Below are 18,387 nucleotides of genomic sequence, written 5' to 3' on the forward strand. Positions count from 1 at the left end.
AATATGGACATTTCTCAGGTGGAGAAGGCAGGGAATAGATGTCTCAGCTGTAAGCCCTAGACTCATATAGGTTAGATTTTTCCTGAGCAGGAGAAGAGGTCATATGTAAGAAGAGGGAGAGAAAGTGGTTAGATTGGGGAGGTGCTGTTCAGTCACAGAGACGAACCTAGACTTGTTCATTCTACCTTTGTGCTAGGGAGAGCCCAAATTCTGCCTTGAGGGGACTCTTGGGCCAGTCTTCAGGGAGTTTGTTGAGATCTCTGGTCTCACGTTCAGTTTCTGATTTTGGTTTAGCTCTTCAGCTCTTCACAAATGTGACTCACTTTTGCCCCACTTGGGCTGATGGTTTAGGACACATGACATCTACCTGGCTACAGAGTTCTTCTCACAGGTATGACCTCAGACTCGCTGTTGCTTGGAGTTCAGAGAAGCAGCCCAATGGGAGGGTTATCTGAAGAATTCCTCTAGCTAGTGGTTTTCATGGGAAAAAAATACATGAGATTTCTCATATATATATATTTATATGACATCATGAGATTATAGATCTAATATATAATTTTATTATATAATGTTATATATTATATTTATTATATATAATAATATATATTTATAATATATAATCTCATGATGTCATGTATATCTGATAATCACTATGTGATATATGTGCTCACACATACAAACACATTTTTTTATGTTGTTATATGTATTTCATATTATAATATGTATGTATTCACAAAATTTACCCAAAAGTGTATTTTCCCTAGTTCCATATCTTTATAACTTGGGTGCATTCTGATGTACTCTAGTCTATACTTTTTTGTATTTCATTTCAAAAAATGCTTGTTATAACTGAATGCATTGATTTTATATGCTATAATGGGTCTACCCATAGACTGAAAAATTTGGCTCTAGTTGAAGTTTCTCAAAAATCAGTGTGTATTAGAAATACTTGGGAAGCTTTTTACAAAGCTAGGTTCCTGAGGCCCCTCCCTCTAAGATTCTGACTTGTTGCATCATAGAAAAGGCCCAGGAACCTACATTTTTTGGCTCAATATATGGAAAATAAAAACAACAGTGCTCAGTAGACGGTGCTAAGGTCCATATGAGAAGTTCACACAGTGTGTTAAATCCATGTTCAGAGTGAAGAGTGTTTGCTGTCCTGAACAGAGTCTGCACTCCTCCAACTGCACCTCTCAATGGGTGATTATTTCAAAGATGTCAAGAAAGAAAAGCCAACTCATAAAAGAGGGAAACAAAGAAGCCGGTTCATTGGAGAAAAGTTATTTATGTGACCTGTTAAAATGGAAACCTTTGGAAGCATTGCTTTGTTTAATATATTCACCTAACTTGGGCTTTATAAAACATTAATCTTCCTCTCTTCCTTTCAATGTAGTGAAATAAGCTTAAAATGTGATTAAGCTAATGATATCTAGAGGTGACAGGCTGAGGCACGTTAATTCCTGAGTAAAGTACCCTTTGGTTGAGAAACTCATAACTAAACTGGCCATCAACAGATCGCCAGGGAAAGCCTGCAAAGGTGAGAGTACTTAAGGCTTCTAAGAAAGTAAATAAAGGTCCACATGCCCAGAATCTAAAACGTAGTCACGCAAAATGAACCTCATGATATTCAGATGGTGTATAAAAGAATGGGTTCTGTTTGCTCGTTTGCCTTTTTTAGAGCCCTAAAAGTCCACACTTGTTTTAAGCAGCTGCAAAATAAGTAAATAGATTTTTGAGAGCAAAATTAAGATTTGGTTGAAACATCTTTCTCATCAAATAGCATGTTTAGGCCCCAGATGCTCTATGAAGCACTCATAAATAATGTGATTTCTGTCTCTAGAAGCTGACATTTGCAAGAAGATGCCTGGTAAAAGTGTAGATATAAAATACGTATTTGTAGAAATACAATATGCTGTCTTTTGTATAAGAAGATAATGTTAAATGACCTATCATCATTTATTTTGAGCCTCTTTTCTGTCTACATACTCTTACCCAGCTACCCTCATAACAAAACACACATTTACCAAAGGAATAATTCATGGAACAAAACAAAATGAGATAAGGTGCTGAGTTAGTTTTTCACTATACTTTTAGCATTTCGGTGGTCTGTGATAAACAATGGAACTAACCAGTAAAATAAGCTTAGATTGAAAAATGCCTTAATCTGCCTCCATGCAAAAGAAATATTCGTATTATATAAAATTCAATTTTCTTGAATATTTGCATTATATGTATTTTAAAATTGCTTTCTTGAAGTATAAATGACATGCAATAAAGTGCATATATTTAGGTGTACAATTTGATAAATTTCAACACATGTATACACCCATGAAACCACTGCTGCAATCAAGATAAAGGACATATGCATTACAGCCCTGCACTGTCTTGTTCCCCTTTCTAATCCCTGCCTCCTACCCTACGCATCCCCTCCTCCTCCCAACAATCTCTAGGCATTCACTGTTGATTAGTTTGCATTCCCTAGAATTTTATATGAAAGTAACCATACAACATGCATTCTTGTTTTGTCTGGCTTTTTTTTCACTCAGGAATTATTTTGAGACACGCCCAGATTGTAGCATTCGTTAACAGTTCATTCCTCATTATTGCTGAGTAGTATTCCATTGTATGGACATATCACAATTGTTTGTCCGTATACCCATTGAAGGACATTTGGTTGTTTCCAGTTTTTGGCTATTATAATAAAACTGCATGACCATTTACGGCTAAGTCTTTATATAGATATATGCTTTTATTTCTCCAGGTAAATACATAGGATTAGAATGGCTAGATCACGGGGTAGGTTTATGTCTAACTTTTTTTTTCTTTTTTCTTTTTTTTTTTTGAGACACAGTCTCTCTCTGTTACCCAGGCTGGAGTACAGTGGTGCAATCTTGGTTTACTGCAACCTCTGTCTTCAGGGTTCAAGGGACTCTTGTGCCTCAGTCTCCTGAGTAGCTGGGATTACAGGTGTATGATACCACACCCAGCTCATTTTTGTATTTTTAGTAGAGTTGGGGCTTCTCCATGTTGGCCAGGCTGGTCTTGAACTCCTGGCCTCAAATGATTCAAGTGTCTTGGCCTCCCAAAGTGCTGGTATTACAGGCATGAGCCACCGCGCCTGGCATGTCTAACTTTTTAAGATACCATGAAACGGTTTTCCAAGCTGGTTGTACTATTTTACATTCTCATTAGCAGGGTATCAGAGGTCCGGTTTTAAGCATCTTTACTAATATTTGGTATGATTTGTCTTTTTATTTTTATTTTTTGTGAGTTATTGGTATAATTTTTTTTTCTTTTTCAACTTTTATTTTAGATTTAGGTAGTATACATGCACGTTTGTTACCTGGGTATATTGCATGATGCTGAGGTTTGGAGTCTGAATGATCCCGTCACTCAGACACTGAGCATGGTACCCAACATTTAGTTTTTCAACCCTTGCCCCTCTCTCTCCTGGCTCTGGTAGTCCCCAGTGTCTATTGTTGTCATCTTCGTGTTCATGAGTACTTGATGTTTGGCTCTCACTTATAAGCGAACGTGTGGTATTTGGTTTTCTGTTTCTGTGTTAATTTGCTTAGGATAAGGGCCTCCAATTGCATCCATCTTGTTGCGAAGGACATGATCTCATTCTTTTCAATTTGTCTTTTTAGAAGTGTGTTGTTTAATCTCCAAATATTTTGGGATTTTCAACCATCTTTCTATTATGGATTTCTAGTTTAATTCCATTGTGGTCTGAGAACATACTTTGTATGATTTCTATTCTTTTAAATTTGCTTAGGCACATCTTATGGCCCAGAATGTGGTCTGTATTGAATGTTCCATGTGAATTTGGGAAGAATGAGTACTCTGCTGTTGTTGGATGCAGTACTCTGTAAGTGTTAATTAGATACAGTTGATTGATGGTACTATTCAGTTCAACTACAATATGTCCTTACTGGTTTTTCTGCCTGCTGGATCTATCAATTACTGAAAGAAGGGTGTTAAAGTTTCCAATTATAATATTTGTCTATTTCTCCTTGCAGTGCTATCAGTTTTTACCTCATGTATTTTGATGCTGTGTTGTTAGGTATATACCTTTAAGCATTGTTACATCTTCTTGGAGAATTAGCCCCTTTATCATTACACAGTGTCCTTCTTCGTTGCTGAAAACTTTCCTTGTTCTAAATTCTGGCTTGTCTGAAATTAGTACAGTTACTCCAGCTTTATTTTGGTTTGTGTTAGCATGGTATATCTTTTTCCATCCCATTTATCTTCCCTTCCCTTTCTGCTTTCTCTGTTATTAATTGATCATCTTATATGATTCCATCCTCTCTTCTCTCTAAACATGTCAATATACTTTCTTTAAAAGGGCCCTGGGCACTGCCTGGGTCCCTCTCTATGTGCTGCAGCATGGAAATTCTCTCCAAGTGGTAAGCTGAGGTTGTTGTCAGACTCACCTTGGCACTATTGATATTTGGGGACAGATAATTCTTTGTTATAGGGGGCTGAAGTGCATTGTAGGGTGCTTAGCACCATCCTTGGTCTCTACCCACTAATAGTAGCATCCTCAGTTGTGACAATCGAGAATATCCCCAGATGTTGTGAAGTATTCTCTGGGGGCCAAAATTATGCCCAGTTGAGAACTACTGATTTCGAGATTTGAACACAGACTCTTCAACCTGACACGCCTCCCTAATATGTTCCTGTCTAACCTTTCCCAGTCTCATCACCTAGACTTTTGCTCATTCCATTCTCTAGCCAAAAAACTACTTGCTGTTCTCCTATCATGCCTTAAACACCAGTGTCCCTGTGCCCCTTTTGTGCTGTTCTCTCTGCCCAAAATGTCCTCTCCCATCTCTCTGTCAAAATTCTCCCCACTTTAAAGACCCACCAAAAATACCAAATTTTCTACAAAGCCCTTTTGATTTTCTAAGCTGATATGATTTTCCTCTACTAGTTTATTTGTCTCACACCCCTATCCACCTTAGTAATGGTAAGCTTCTTAATGCATATTTTCCCTTCTGCACACGTATTGTGGCTTTTGCACACATGGTACTGCCCTTCACTGCACATAACAGGTGCTCAATATATATTAACTGAATTTTTAGTTTTTACATATTGAGGTTCCTTTTAAAATATAAATCTGCTACCATTCAATAATAAAAGACAACCCAATTTAAAATGGGCAAAGGATCTGAATAGATATTTCTCCAAAGAAGATCTACAAATAGTCAATAAGCACATAAAAAAGATGTTCAACATAATTAGTTATTAGGGAAATGCAAATCAAAACCACCATGAGATACCACTGCACATCCACTAGGATGGCTATAATAAAAAAGACAGTTAATATCAAGTGTTGGCAAGTATGTGGAGAAATTAGAATTCTCATACACTTCTGGCAGGAACATAAATGCTTTGGTAAATTCTTTGGTAGACAGTCTGGCAGTTTCTCAAATGGTGAAATATAGTTACTATATGTTGTAGCAATTCCACTCCTAACTATAGACAGACCCAAGAGAAATGAAATTTGTGTCCACACAAAAACTTGCATACAAATATTCATAGCAGCATTATTCATAATATTCACAAAATGAAAACAATGCAAATCCATCAACTGATTAAGGAATACATAAAAGGTGATATATTCATACAATGGCATGTTATTAGCCAACAAAAAGAAATAGGTACTGATATCTGCTACAATGTGAATGAACCTTGAAAGTATTATGCTAAGTGAGTGGAACCAGTCACAAAGGGTCACAAATTGTAGAATTTCATTTTATTGAAATGCCTAGAGTAGGCAAATCTATAGACATGGAAATCAGATTTGTGGTTGCCTAAAACTTGAAGGATGGGAAGACTATGGGAGGGTGGCTGTGGGGTATGGTATTTCTTTTTGGGAGTAATGAGTGTTCTAAAACTGATCATGGTGATGGATGCACAATTCTGTGAATATACTAAAAGCCATTGAATTGTCTACTTTAAATGGGTGAGTTGTGTGGCATGTGAATAATATCTCAATAAAGCTCTTTTTACAAGGCATATCTTTTAATTAAGATTCCAAAGAGAAATATGTAATATTTAACATATGATCAATATATAAAAAAAGTTGATAAAAAACAAAAATCCCTTTCTATGAGAAAACAATTGGACAGCAAAGCCAGTTCTCTTGGCAAGAAGAAAATTGCTGAAGCTTTCACAAATCTGCCTGTAGAGTAACAGATGAATTCTACTAGGATGGGTTTTTGCTATTTTTGCTAAGACAACCTTTTTGGCACATCGTTATTAAGCTTTGACTCATTACCATTTGTGACAACACTGATAAAGGTCCCACCTAAGAACACTCCTTTACTCTATTTCATACTGTGTTATTAGAATATGTATCCAAGCCTTGTCTTTGCAAATAGCCAGAATAGCCATTACTTCCTGCATTCATAACGTGATCATCCTGAGCTAAATAAGGTGGATTCTCACACAGAGAACAAGTACTTGAGGCAAACTAATTAAAAGACAGACTTGAAGATCAGACCTGATATAGTCCCCTCTGTTTTCCAGACAGGCACTCCTGAATATAAATACATACCCCTTCCGATACATTGTTATCTGTTAGATGTCTTTGTGCAAACTAGAGTAGATTTATGTTTTGTTTCATGGGTGGAGACACTCAGAGAAATAGGAACAATGTTTTGGGGAATTCTAAACCGATTTTTAAAATCATGCCTGTTACCTGCTGAAAAAAACTTTATATTCACAAAAAAGGTAGAGTCAATTGGTTATTTAATATATTGTAAATCTACTTGTGATATTATTGTGATCTAGATTAGTGCAAACTACTAGGCATTTAACATCTTTTCTCCTCCTGTTATAATCAGTAGCGTAAAAAAAAAATCAGCTATTTTTAACTCTTGCCACTGGCAATAAATTATGAATTGTGATTTTTTTCAGATACAAAAATAAATGTTATCTTATCCATATTCATTTTTTTTTTTTTGAGACGGAGTCTTGCTCTGTCCCCCAGGCTGGAGTGCAATGGCACGATCTTGGCTCACTGCAACCTCCGCCTCCTGGGTTCAAGCCATTCTCCTGCTTCAGCCTCCCCAGTAGCTGGGATTACAGGCATGCACCACCACGCCCAGCTAATTTTTGTATTTTTAGTAGAGATGGGGTTTCACCATGTTGGCCAGGCTGGTCTCGAGCTCCTGACATCATGATCCACCTGCCTCGGCCTCCCAAAGTGCTGGGATTACAGGCGTGAGCCACCATGCCTGGCCGTTATTGTATCCATATTCATTTTTAAGACAAGCATATTAAAGAGCACATATTAATAAACCAATGAAATAGAATAATTCTAAGAATTTTTCAGGAAAAAATGCACCTTGCTGGAAATCCATCCTGTGTGTGTGTGTGTGTGTGTGTGTGTGTGTGTATTTGTGTGTTTCAGTGCAAGATGTAGAAGGGGTAATTGTACCCCATTGATGGTCAATTAGTTTTAAGTAATCTGTTTCACCGGAAGAGACAAAAATATAAATGAGAAGTGTTTTTGAATTTTGTTTTTTAACTAGCTTCATCTTAGTGTATAGGTATGAAAGCAAGTCAAAGGGCTACTTGGCTGGGAACCTCTTGGTAAAGTAATCGGCTTTGATGTTAGCCTTTTGATAACCCCCACGGGTGTGCATAGAGGAAAGGACAGTTCTTCAGGATTTGCTTCCTTTGACTGAGGCTTGATAAACTTACAAATTCTAACTTTATGTAGCAGCACCTGGAATACTGGGGTTTTCCTGTGAGGAGGCAAATAATAAATGATAGGGAAAAAACACAAGACCCAGTGGGAAATATAAACACAAGAAAAGAAACAAAAAGTATAACCCGTAGGAATAGAACACATTTGAGTTTTGAGCTGGTGAAGAGTTCAGAGATAATCACATTCAATATTTTAATTTTGGTCATGAATGAATATGGGTCCCAAAGAGGTTAAAGGAAATATCCAAGATCACTAGGGAGTTAAGGCTGGAACCAGAATTAAACCCAACTCCTTGCAGTGTTTTTTAAAATACTATAACAATGTAGGATAAAACAATATGGAGGGAATGTCACGTAGTCATTCCTTAATTCCACAAATATTTATTGAGTGCATATGATGTTCCAGGTTCTGGGGTAGGCACTGGGTTTGCAATAGTGAATGGAATGGAAAATGTTTCCACCCTCGTGGGTCTTACAGTTAGGTGGTAGAGACTGAGTGATAGTCTCTTTGGGCAAACACACACAGACACAATTATGAACTCTGGAAGACAGAGACCGGGTGCTACAAGAACACATAATAAGGAGGCCTAGTGGGACAGTCAGGGTTGGGTCCGTACATATAAATTCACATCCTAACTTTCTTGTCTCCCATCTTTCTTCCTGTTGTGACTTCCAGGCCTAGTTGTGTCCATGTTCACATTATCTCTGCCTGAAACACACTCTTTTTCCTTCTAACGTGGGAAACATCCTCTTGTCCTTTGGGGCCCAACTTCAATGTCATTTCCACAGAGAGGCTTTCCTTGACCTCCAGCCTAGGTTGCACACACCCATCATTCATTCTCACAGCACCATATATTTTTCCATAGTCAGACTTTTCACAATTGATTGTGTAGTTTAAGATCTGGTCACCTCACTAGACTGAGGACAGGGATCATGCCTTGCCTTGTCCTGTGAACAGTCCTGCTATGTGTTAGACATTCAATAAATGTTTATTGAATGACTGAATGAATGACTCTGTCTGGACTGTCATTAGTAATGATGACCATCCTTTCCTTGAAACCTCAGAAGTCCATGAGGTCAAAAGCAGCTTAGTTCATGTAAAAAATACCTTCCTTGTTGCCTTGACCTCTTTTCTTGATCTCTCTATTCTGAATTTCTCTAATTGTTGACATAGAATAATCCATTCTTGGCTGGGTGCAGTGGCTCACGCCTGTAATCCCAGCACTTTGGGAGGCCAAGACAGGCAGATCACTTGAGGTCAGAAGTTCAAGACCCTGTCTCTACTAAAAATACAAAAATTAGCCAGATGTGGTGGCACATGCCTGTAGTCCCAGCTACTCTGGAGGCTGAGGCAGGAGAGTCACTTGAACCTGGGAGGCAGAGGTTGCAGTGAGCCAAGATTGTGCCACTGCACTTCAGCCTGGGCAACAGAGAGAGACTCCAACTCAAAAAAAAAAAAAAGTGTAATCCCAGCACTCTGGGAGGCTGAGGCGGGCGGATCATGAGGTCAGGAGATCAAGACCATCCTGGCTAACACGGTGAAACCCTGTCTCTACTAAAAAATACAAAAAATTAGCCAGGCATGGTGGCGGGCGCCTGTAGTCCCAGCTACTCAGGAGGCTGAGGCAGGAGAATGGCGTGAACCCTGGAGGCAGAGCTTGCAATGAGCCGAGAGTGGGCCACTGCACTCCAACCTGGGTGAGAGAGAGACTCTGTCTCAAAAAAAAAAAAAAAAAAAAAACAAAGAAAAGAGAAAGAAATACAAATACTGCATGTTTTCACTTGTAAGTGGAAGCTAAACACTGCGTACTCATGACCACAAAGATGGGAACAATAGATGCTGGGGACTACCACAGAGTAGGGAGGGAGTGAAGGGGGCAAGGGCTGAAACACTACCTATTGGGTACTATACTCACTACCTGGGTGAAGGGATCATTTGTATCCCAAACCTCAGCATCACACAACATACCTTTGTAACAGACATGCACATGTTTCTCCTGGATCTAAAATAAAAGTTGAGAAAAAGAGAACCCTCTAGCTGAAAGTGTGGTGAACATTCCTGCAAAACGTACATTTCCTTGAAAAGTCTGGATGTGGGCGTGTTCTGATGATAAGGAAGTTCTGTCAGCCATATATTGGTCCATGCTTTCCTGAAGTAGCCCAACTCCCTAGCACAGATAGACACACAGAGGAAGAGTGCCTCAGAACAAAAATAAGTTTTCAAAACAAAAAATATCAAGAATTACAGAAGTCTGGAGGGGAAACTCATGGTCAAAGCAACGTGTTGATATAGAAAATAACGAAAGATACAAAGAAACCTCACAAACTAATTTTTGCAGGCTATTTAGTCTTTACTGTTGGCTCTGCTTCTGGAAGGAGAACACAGTCATGCATCTTGCTTTGTCCTTCTTCAACAGTTCAATATAGTAATGAACGTGTTGAATATCTACTCTGTGCATATCTAGCATGACTAAGGAAATGAATATGACCACGACTCTCTTCAGAATAACAAACTAGTAGGAGATAGAAATATGTATATGACTGCAAAGACAGGTAAAAATAATGTGCTCCCAGCAGGAGCTATAAACAAAACGTCATAGGAGCCCAGAGAGTGCGTGGTAATTGTAGACTAAGAAGAATCACTGATGTTCTTCATGGAGGCTTTTGCATTTAATTAGGCTTAAAAAAGTGGGCTTCAACAGTCAGATATGGCAGGGCAGGAAGGACTGGTGGGAGGAAGAATGGGGTTTATGAGGAATGAAGGAGGGGAGGATATTTCGGGGGGAGAGAATGGCTTGACTGAATCCACAGAGTGACAGTACATTAGAAAACAGTTGAGCTGACCCTAGAGGGTATGGCGTGGGGCTGGAGATGTCTGGTTGGGGATAGAGTGCAAAAGTACTTTCTGAGCTCAAATTGTAGAAGGTCTTCAATTCCATTTAAGGCGATTGGATTGGTTTCAAGTAGGCTGGTCCGTGGGGTGGGAGGTGGGAGTTGAAAGTCCATGAAACTCAAAATGCTTCATCATCCTCAAAACTCATAATCTTTTTGAATATTTAATTTATTTTTAGTCTATCCTTCTTAGGTTCATTTTACAGAGTAGTTTTGGTAGATGTTTGTCTTTTTTTCATTTCTGTATTTGTAGCCTTTAGCACACAGCCTACCACATACAGACATTCAACAAATTTGTTGAGTGTTGTTCACTTCCTCTCAGGCCTTGTCTATACATAAATGGAAAATGTCTATCAGCACACATTAACTCAACTTCACACAAGTGATCAATCTGGACCATTCAGGCTAAACGACCTTTCTCACCAGCCTGTATTCTAACCCATCTGCATAATCAAGCCACACTTCTAATTTGTCTTGCTTTTAGGGTTGTAGCCAATTTAAGTTTCTTTTGGATTTTCTGCTGGATTGCCAACATTCTATTTGGTAAGAAGATAGCCAAGTTAGATAATTGGAAACAAAGAAGAAAAAAATGTTTTCCACTATGAGCAGTCCTTCGGTTCCTCTTAATTTTCCTGATAATTGCTTTAACCCTACACTTCAAGTTGCCTAACTGTTTAGTTTCCACATTTTAGGGTCCAATGCACAATTCCTTGAAATTCAATTGACATGTTAACTTTGAACCTTCAAAGAAGAAAAGCTTTCACTCCCACATGGTCACATATGCCTGAACTGCTTGCCTCTTTACATACAGAACAGGCTTGGTTGCCTTTGCAGAAAATTAAATAACTCATCTTTTTTACGCAAATGCCAAACATCAAAAGGGCCAACTACCTACTGAGAGTAGTGTTCAAAGACCAGCTTAAAAAATCAAGAGATGAATGAAAGCCAAGGTTTTTGCACAGCAAATACTTGCAAGAAACTTCTGGTAGTCATGGAGTAAAATCCCATTTTCATAGTTTCACTGTGCTTTTAGATATGTTGGGCTGGGTTTTCCCATTGCTTGTCATATTCTCAGGGATAAATTGGATGCTTATGCTGTTTTGGAAATGGTATTAATTTAAGCCTCTCTGATGAGATATGCAGTAAAAATGTATCATAGTGCTGATGTCAGGGGAAGGGAGATGACACTCCTGTGGGAAGATTTGTATGACCCAGGGTATGGCTAAGTCCATAAAATGCTTTCCATGGAGCAGGATTGTACTGCAGGAGCCTGTGGGATTAGTCTAGTTTATGTCATCAATTAAAACCTCCATCTTCCATGAAACCTTCTCTGTTTCCCATTGGTTCTGGGCTGAGTTGGGAGCTGACTTGGACCTCACTCCTCCATGGCTTTGCATTCTGTCTTCCTTTCTGGCTAAAGTGCCAAGTCTCTGCCATCAACACCTGTTTGTGCCAGTGAAATACAATACTCTCTTGCTCTGTTTTTCTTGCTTCCTTCCTCTTTTCCCTTCCTTCCTTATTTCCTTCCTTCCTTCCTCCCTCACTCCCTCTCTCTGTTTCTCTCTTTCTTTTTCTTTCTTTCTTTCTTTCTTTCTTTCTTTCTTTCTTTCTTTCTTTCTTTCTTTTTCTTTCTTTCTTTCTTCTCTCTCTCTCTCTTTCTGTCTTTCTCTTTTTCTTTCCTACTAGTAGTAACCAAAGATGCATTTGGAAACATCTTTTATTTGTGTGAGACATAAATGTTGCCAGTAATAAAACTCAAAATGGACAAAAAGTATTAGAACCAGACTAATTTGGTGAAGGAGGGGGGCAGAAATGAGGATAAGAGTGCAAGGCATTGATAGCTTCACCTTTCTGCTCCTGACTGTGCTGTGCTAGAGTCTGTGTGTCCCTCTGCCAGACCAAGCCTCTGTCCCATATATAGTCTTGTTGAAGGGGCAGGTTTTATCCTTGTGACCTTGTTCCTCCAAGCATAGCTGTATGTATGGCCAGGTTTTATCCTTGTGACCTTGTCCCTCCAAGCATAACTGATTGGACTAAGATAGGATACTTGTGTCAAAAATAGACAAGCTATAGGCTGGCCAGTGTCCTGTGGTATGGCCTAGCAGAAAAAGATGAGCTGGGTCAGCTACCGTCTTCCCCTGAGGGATTTCAACAGGGACATATCGAGAATTTCTAGTGGGAGCTGGAACTAAAAGTTCAGTAGATTAAGAGAGACTTGAGATATCTTAAGGGAGTCACATTGATGAGGAAGCAGAGACTATGAGGCAGATAAAAGATTGTAAAAAGTTGAGCACTGGAGTAAGGATCTTTAAAACTGTTAATGAGGGTCTTTACAGCTTCCCTGGATTTAGAACTACTGTTCAGAACTACCTTCTGTGCAGTCTGACCCTGTTCTTAAAATTTTATGAGATTCTAACTTCCTTCTAGCCATGTGAATCCTTACAGTAAATCCTTTCCTTATGCTAGTCTGTGAGTGCATATTAGAAATGCTTTCAGCTGCAAGTAACAGAAAATTTAACTGGCAGTGTCTTAAACACAGGGGCATTTATTATTTACTTAAGAATTCCAGTTACAGTGTTGGTTCTGCAGCTCAATGATGTCATGAGATACCCAGGAGCCTTGGCCCATTCTGCTTTGCTTTAATGCCTGATGTTGTGTAGTTTTAGGTGTCACATGGCAGTGACTAAAGCAGATGGAGAAAGAGGTGGGACAAACAAACTTTCTCCTTGAATCCTTATGATAATTTTCTTAAAAAAATCAAGGAGGAAAATCTTCTTAGAAAGACCCTGGCAGATAGCCCCTGGTGTCTATCAGGACTGGGTGGTCACCCTGGGTCAGTCACTAGCAAACAAGATTGCAATGGACATATTGCATTAGACCCATTGTGATTCATGTCCTGGGGCTGGGCTCATTGCTGCCCATCAGAAATTGGCATGCTGTTAGCAAGAAGGGAGAATGGCTATTGGGTAGTGAACCAGCTGATGTGGCTTGGGTTCTCTGGAAGCAGATTCACAGATGGAATTTGGGATGCAAGGTGTTTACTTGGTTTGAAACCTGTAAAAGGAGAGAAGCTTAAAGACACATAACAACAAAATGTAATGTGGCATCCTGGATGTGATCCTGGAAGCATCAAAGGACATTCAGTAAACACTAAGGAGAACTAAATAAACTACCAACTCTAGTTAATAGTAATGTATCAGTATTGCTTCATTAATTGTAACAAATGTATTATACTAATGTGAGGTGTTACTAATAGGGAAAACTGAATGAGGGCATATGGAAACTCTGTGCTATAGTCTCAGTTTTTCTGTATATCAGAAACTATTCTTTTTTTTTTTTTTTTTTTTGAGACGGAGTCTTGCTCTGCCACCCAGGCTGGAGTGCAATGGTGCAATCTCAGCTCACCACAACCTCTAGCTCCCAGGTTCAAGCGATTTTTCTGCCTCAGCCTCCCGAGTAGCTGGGAGTACAGGCGTGTGCCACCGTGCCTGGCTAATTTTTGTGTTTTTAGTAGAGATGAGGTTTCACCATGTTGGCCAGGCCGGTCTTGAACTCCCAACCCCATGATCTGCCCGCCTTGGCCTCCCAAAGTGCTGGGGTTACAGGCGTGAGCCACCACACCCGGCCTCAGAAAGTATTCTTAAAAGCAGTCTATTATAAACAAACCAAAACCTGTCAAAAGAAGGGAGAGGTAACAGGATTGGGCAGAAGAAAAAGCTGAATCACAATGCAGGACCATGGAAATCTCAGCTAACCCCTGGGGAGCTCTGGAGAGACTATCGTCCGACTGTGTTTCCCACATTGAACGGAGCTGTCTGGGCCTTTATCCTGCTGCCTCACTCCATCACTAGGTGTGGACTATGCCAGGAAGGCACAGTCTTGGGCAAAGTGGCTCTTTCTAGCTGAGGCTGACATTGAAGAAACTGACAGCTGAAGGCCATCTGTTGGTCACACTCCTTGCAGCTGGGCAGCAAGCCCCTCCTTGACAGAGAATCTGGGTGGCACATGTCTGTGTCCACTACATCAGCAGTGTCTACCTCGGTGAATCTCTGTAGTAGACATGGAGATGTGCCACAGATGATCTTCAGCAAGGACTTCCTGTTTCAGCTGCTGGGAGGGCAGCCATTCTGATACTGGGAAGGAAGGGCCTAGGCAGGAGAGACACCAGTGAAGATGCTAGGAATTTCCTATCAACCATTGCAGCCATCTCACAGTCACGGGGTATCTGTGACCATGGAAACAATGCAAGAATTTCCAAGAACTATGCTATGGGGTCATAGTCTCAGGCTATTTATGAAATGCATTTATTCTGAAATTGCATGTGCAAGTTGGTTGTTTGGAACCCTAAGTACATTTTTTTTTTCATAGAAATAGTAAGTAATAGGTTTCCTTGTAAGCCCACAAAAGACCACAATGTACCTGAAGTATAGCATGATTTCAGTTTTACCAATTGTTATTTGTAAAACTGTGTCTTCACAGAAAGGTACATTCCAGGAAGGGACACGCCTTCCACTATAGGTGGTCATGGATAGATCCACACAGAAGGCAGCACTTTATCTCTGCATTGCAAAAGATAATCAAGTAAGTTAGGAGCTCTGGATTATGGTTCTGGTTTGGCTGCTTTCTTAACACTGTTAGAGTGTCTTTTTCTGTTCTGTCAAAGGATGGGGCCTAAGTAGATCATTTCTAGAGCCCCTTCTGTCTCTAGCATTCTGTATCTCTCTAGAGCAGTCATATAGATAATCGGAATTCAGAAATAAAAAAACATTTGCATATAATAGGGCAAGAACATGGCTAAACATTCATATTTGTCTGGGTCTTCTTCATAGCACAGTATTGCATAGTGACATAATTAGTAAAACTGGGCCTCTGTGCTAAATTGAATGTGGATTCCCCTGCATAGGACAAAAGGACTCTGTGTTTCTCCAAACGACTGGGCTTTGTTAGATCAGAACAATGTCTTAGGGAATTGGGTGAAGAATGAAACTTCCCCTCCCTCCAGGCCCTGCTCAAGCTTCCCCTACAGTAGAAGGCCACTCCTCAATGCTATAGGAAATAAAGTTCCTTGTAGTCACACAAGGCAATTGGGAGCTGCATGGGATCTGGGCAGACCCACTCATTTGCCCTGCCCCAGCCTGGTGACACCATCACCACTCTTCCCTTGGGGTATCTAAGGGAGGACCTGCATCAATGCCCTCAATGTATAGGTTTATTGTGACCATTTGCTCAGGACAAAGGTGTGTTGGTAATTTGTGGTTGTTAATATTCACAGTAGAGTATAATTTTGAAACTCTCATTTCCACATATAAGCTACAAATTAAACAATTTACCACAGTTGTTAGAAGTTTCCATATAACGTTATTTGTAGGACAATAATGAATAGACCATAGCTACAGTTATCTAGGTCACAGTCTCAACTTTGGAATGAAATCCAAGGGTAATTCAGGTTGGTATCTTGGACTTTGCCTGAGTTGTCTAGGGAATCAGACAGAGCTGACATGCTTCAGAAACATGTAACATATACTCTGCTTAAATGTATGGCTTAAACTCTACTGCCTGAGATCACATGAAAATTTCATTAATCACTGACCTGTGCCATGTCATCGAGTCTCCTTGAGCTTAATGTGAGTCATTGAACCTTGTTTAGCTTCAGTTCTTCATTATGAAATCAGGGATGATAGAAAGGTTCCAAAACAGTGGGGTGCTTTTATATTTTTATCTTTTAGTCTTTTGGATGGTAGAGTCTTGGTTCCTTATGGATACCTTGCTACAGAATAAATCTATAACTAATTCTCCCAAATCTTACTATAGCCAGAAGTTTCAAAATGTTCTCCCTGGTGCATCTTTTTAATCAATGCTATATCTAATAGAAAAGTGTTTATGTCTCTGTTACTCAAGAAGAATCAAACCATCTTCCTTCTCCTTTTTAAAGTCATTTCATCTGTCTGATGCAAATATCAGTGTGCATCCTTCTCTCTTCTACTCCTAGACAGACCGCAGTGTGGCCTAACACACATGCATAGAGATGGGGTCAGGCCCCCCCTGCTTTTAGCTTTGGTTTTGTCACCAACTAACTTTTGGGTCCAGCAAACAGTGGGTGCCCAACACATGTGAAATGTGAGTTTTAAAAATTCTCTTGGCCTCGATTTTCTTTGTTGTCAAATAAGACAGTTTTCCACTGTGGCAGGTACTGTTGATTAACTCTATAGTCATTTCAAACACCCTTTTCCTGTCTACTTCTCAGTATAGAATAGAGGCTGGTAAATGACATATGACTTCTCTCAGCCTGTCTTGCAATTAGGTGGCTCATGTGACCTAAGGGGCTGTTTGCTGGAGGGTTTCTGGGAAGAGTTATTTTCCTAAATAAAGTGATAGAGACATGGGAAAACAGCCTGTTCCCTGCCTTCACCTTCCTGCCTTGAAAGCAACTGTGGGGGAAAGATGCTTGGAACTGGGATGACCACTTTATCTTGTGTAAACACATGTGAGGATGAAAAGTCAACTCTCTGAGGATGGGGAGCCTTGAGACAGCAAGAGCCTGGGCCCTTGAGCACCATTGCTGGGCCATTGCACCAATCTCAGAATTGCTTACCCATGCCCTTCTTATTACATGAAGTGATTCCATGTCTCTAGCTCTTAAACAGAGTCAGGTTTTCTCTTTCTTGCAGCCAAAGTCACATCTTAAGTGATTGTAACCACTACAAAGTGATACTCTCTAAAGTCACTTTGTTCTAAGACTCTCACAGTATGTACTGAACCAATTTTTTTTCCTGGTATTATATCATTATAGGTGAGTTTCATTTCCTTTCCTGTGTTCTCTAGTAGAGGTGGTAATGAGCAGTGAAATAACAAAGAAGTTGAGAATAGGAGAAAAAAAAAGTAAGGAATGAAGACTTCAAAATAACTCCCATTTAGGTACTTAGAAGTTAATCATGAGTGGAATACACAGAGGGAGCTGGGCTTGGCTTGACGGGGTGATCTCCACTTTCCTTCTCTATTCCCAGAAGACTTAGGAGGCTCCGTGAGAGGGAGAATGAGATAAGAATTTTAGCAACTTACTCTCTCCACCCTGTGAAAGAACTTCTGCCTTGGCAACACCCCTCCCCAAATAATTTTCACATAGTCCAGATGAGTGCCTTCCCATACACAGGATGAAAGATCCAGGGAAAAAAGTCATATCGGGACAATGGAGAAAAAAAATTGGCTTTGCCTCTGCATTGTGTGTCTAATCCTGGTTCTGATAGCCCTTTACAAAGTTCCAAAAAGTGAAAAGCAACCGTGGAAACACCTGTTGGAAACCGTTTTTGAGCTGTCCACGTTGGTACTGGCTGGTTTCCTCTGGGAGGCTGAGTGCTCAAAGCATCAAGAAGGCCAGAACAGAGAACAGAATTTGTACTCCATCATCTGTGAAGGCTTTACTCTATTTCAGTAGCTGTGAATAAAGGGGCTTTCCGTAAACATACGTTATGACCATAGATATCAGGTTGACTAATACAATTCATGGCTCTGGCGCTCTTCCTATAATCCACCTGACTCGAATACTCAGGGTGTGCCTTTTGGTGAGTTCATATGTTTGAGCAGTCAAAGCTTTATAGTCCTCACCAAAAAATATGTTTTTGACTTAATAGTTTTTAGATAAAAAATTTTCACAATGGATGAAGTAGTCTAAGACATTGATAAAACAAAATTATGTTAAAAAGTTCTCGACCTTCCTGCTCTTTTATGTTTTTCTCGCTAATCTCACACCTTGCTAATCTCTCACACCTCCTTTACAGA

The 18,387-nt window shown here is 39.8% G+C and overlaps 2 annotated features.

The window, feature by feature from the left end:
• Positions 16,503–16,552: an enhancer, noted in NCBI's record as "active region_16582". NCBI's record gives its function as "activates an Ori minimal core promoter by ATAC-STARR-seq in GM12878 lymphoblastoid cells {active_cell/tissue: GM12878}" and the evidence as "EXISTENCE:reporter gene assay evidence [ECO:0000049][PMID:35858748]".
• Positions 16,573–16,692: an enhancer, noted in NCBI's record as "active region_16583". NCBI's record gives its function as "activates an Ori minimal core promoter by ATAC-STARR-seq in GM12878 lymphoblastoid cells {active_cell/tissue: GM12878}" and the evidence as "EXISTENCE:reporter gene assay evidence [ECO:0000049][PMID:35858748]".

Source organism: Homo sapiens, chromosome 2 (genome assembly GCF_000001405.40).
Source record: "Homo sapiens chromosome 2, GRCh38.p14 Primary Assembly".
NCBI classification, from domain to species: Eukaryota; Metazoa; Chordata; class Mammalia; order Primates; family Hominidae; genus Homo; species Homo sapiens.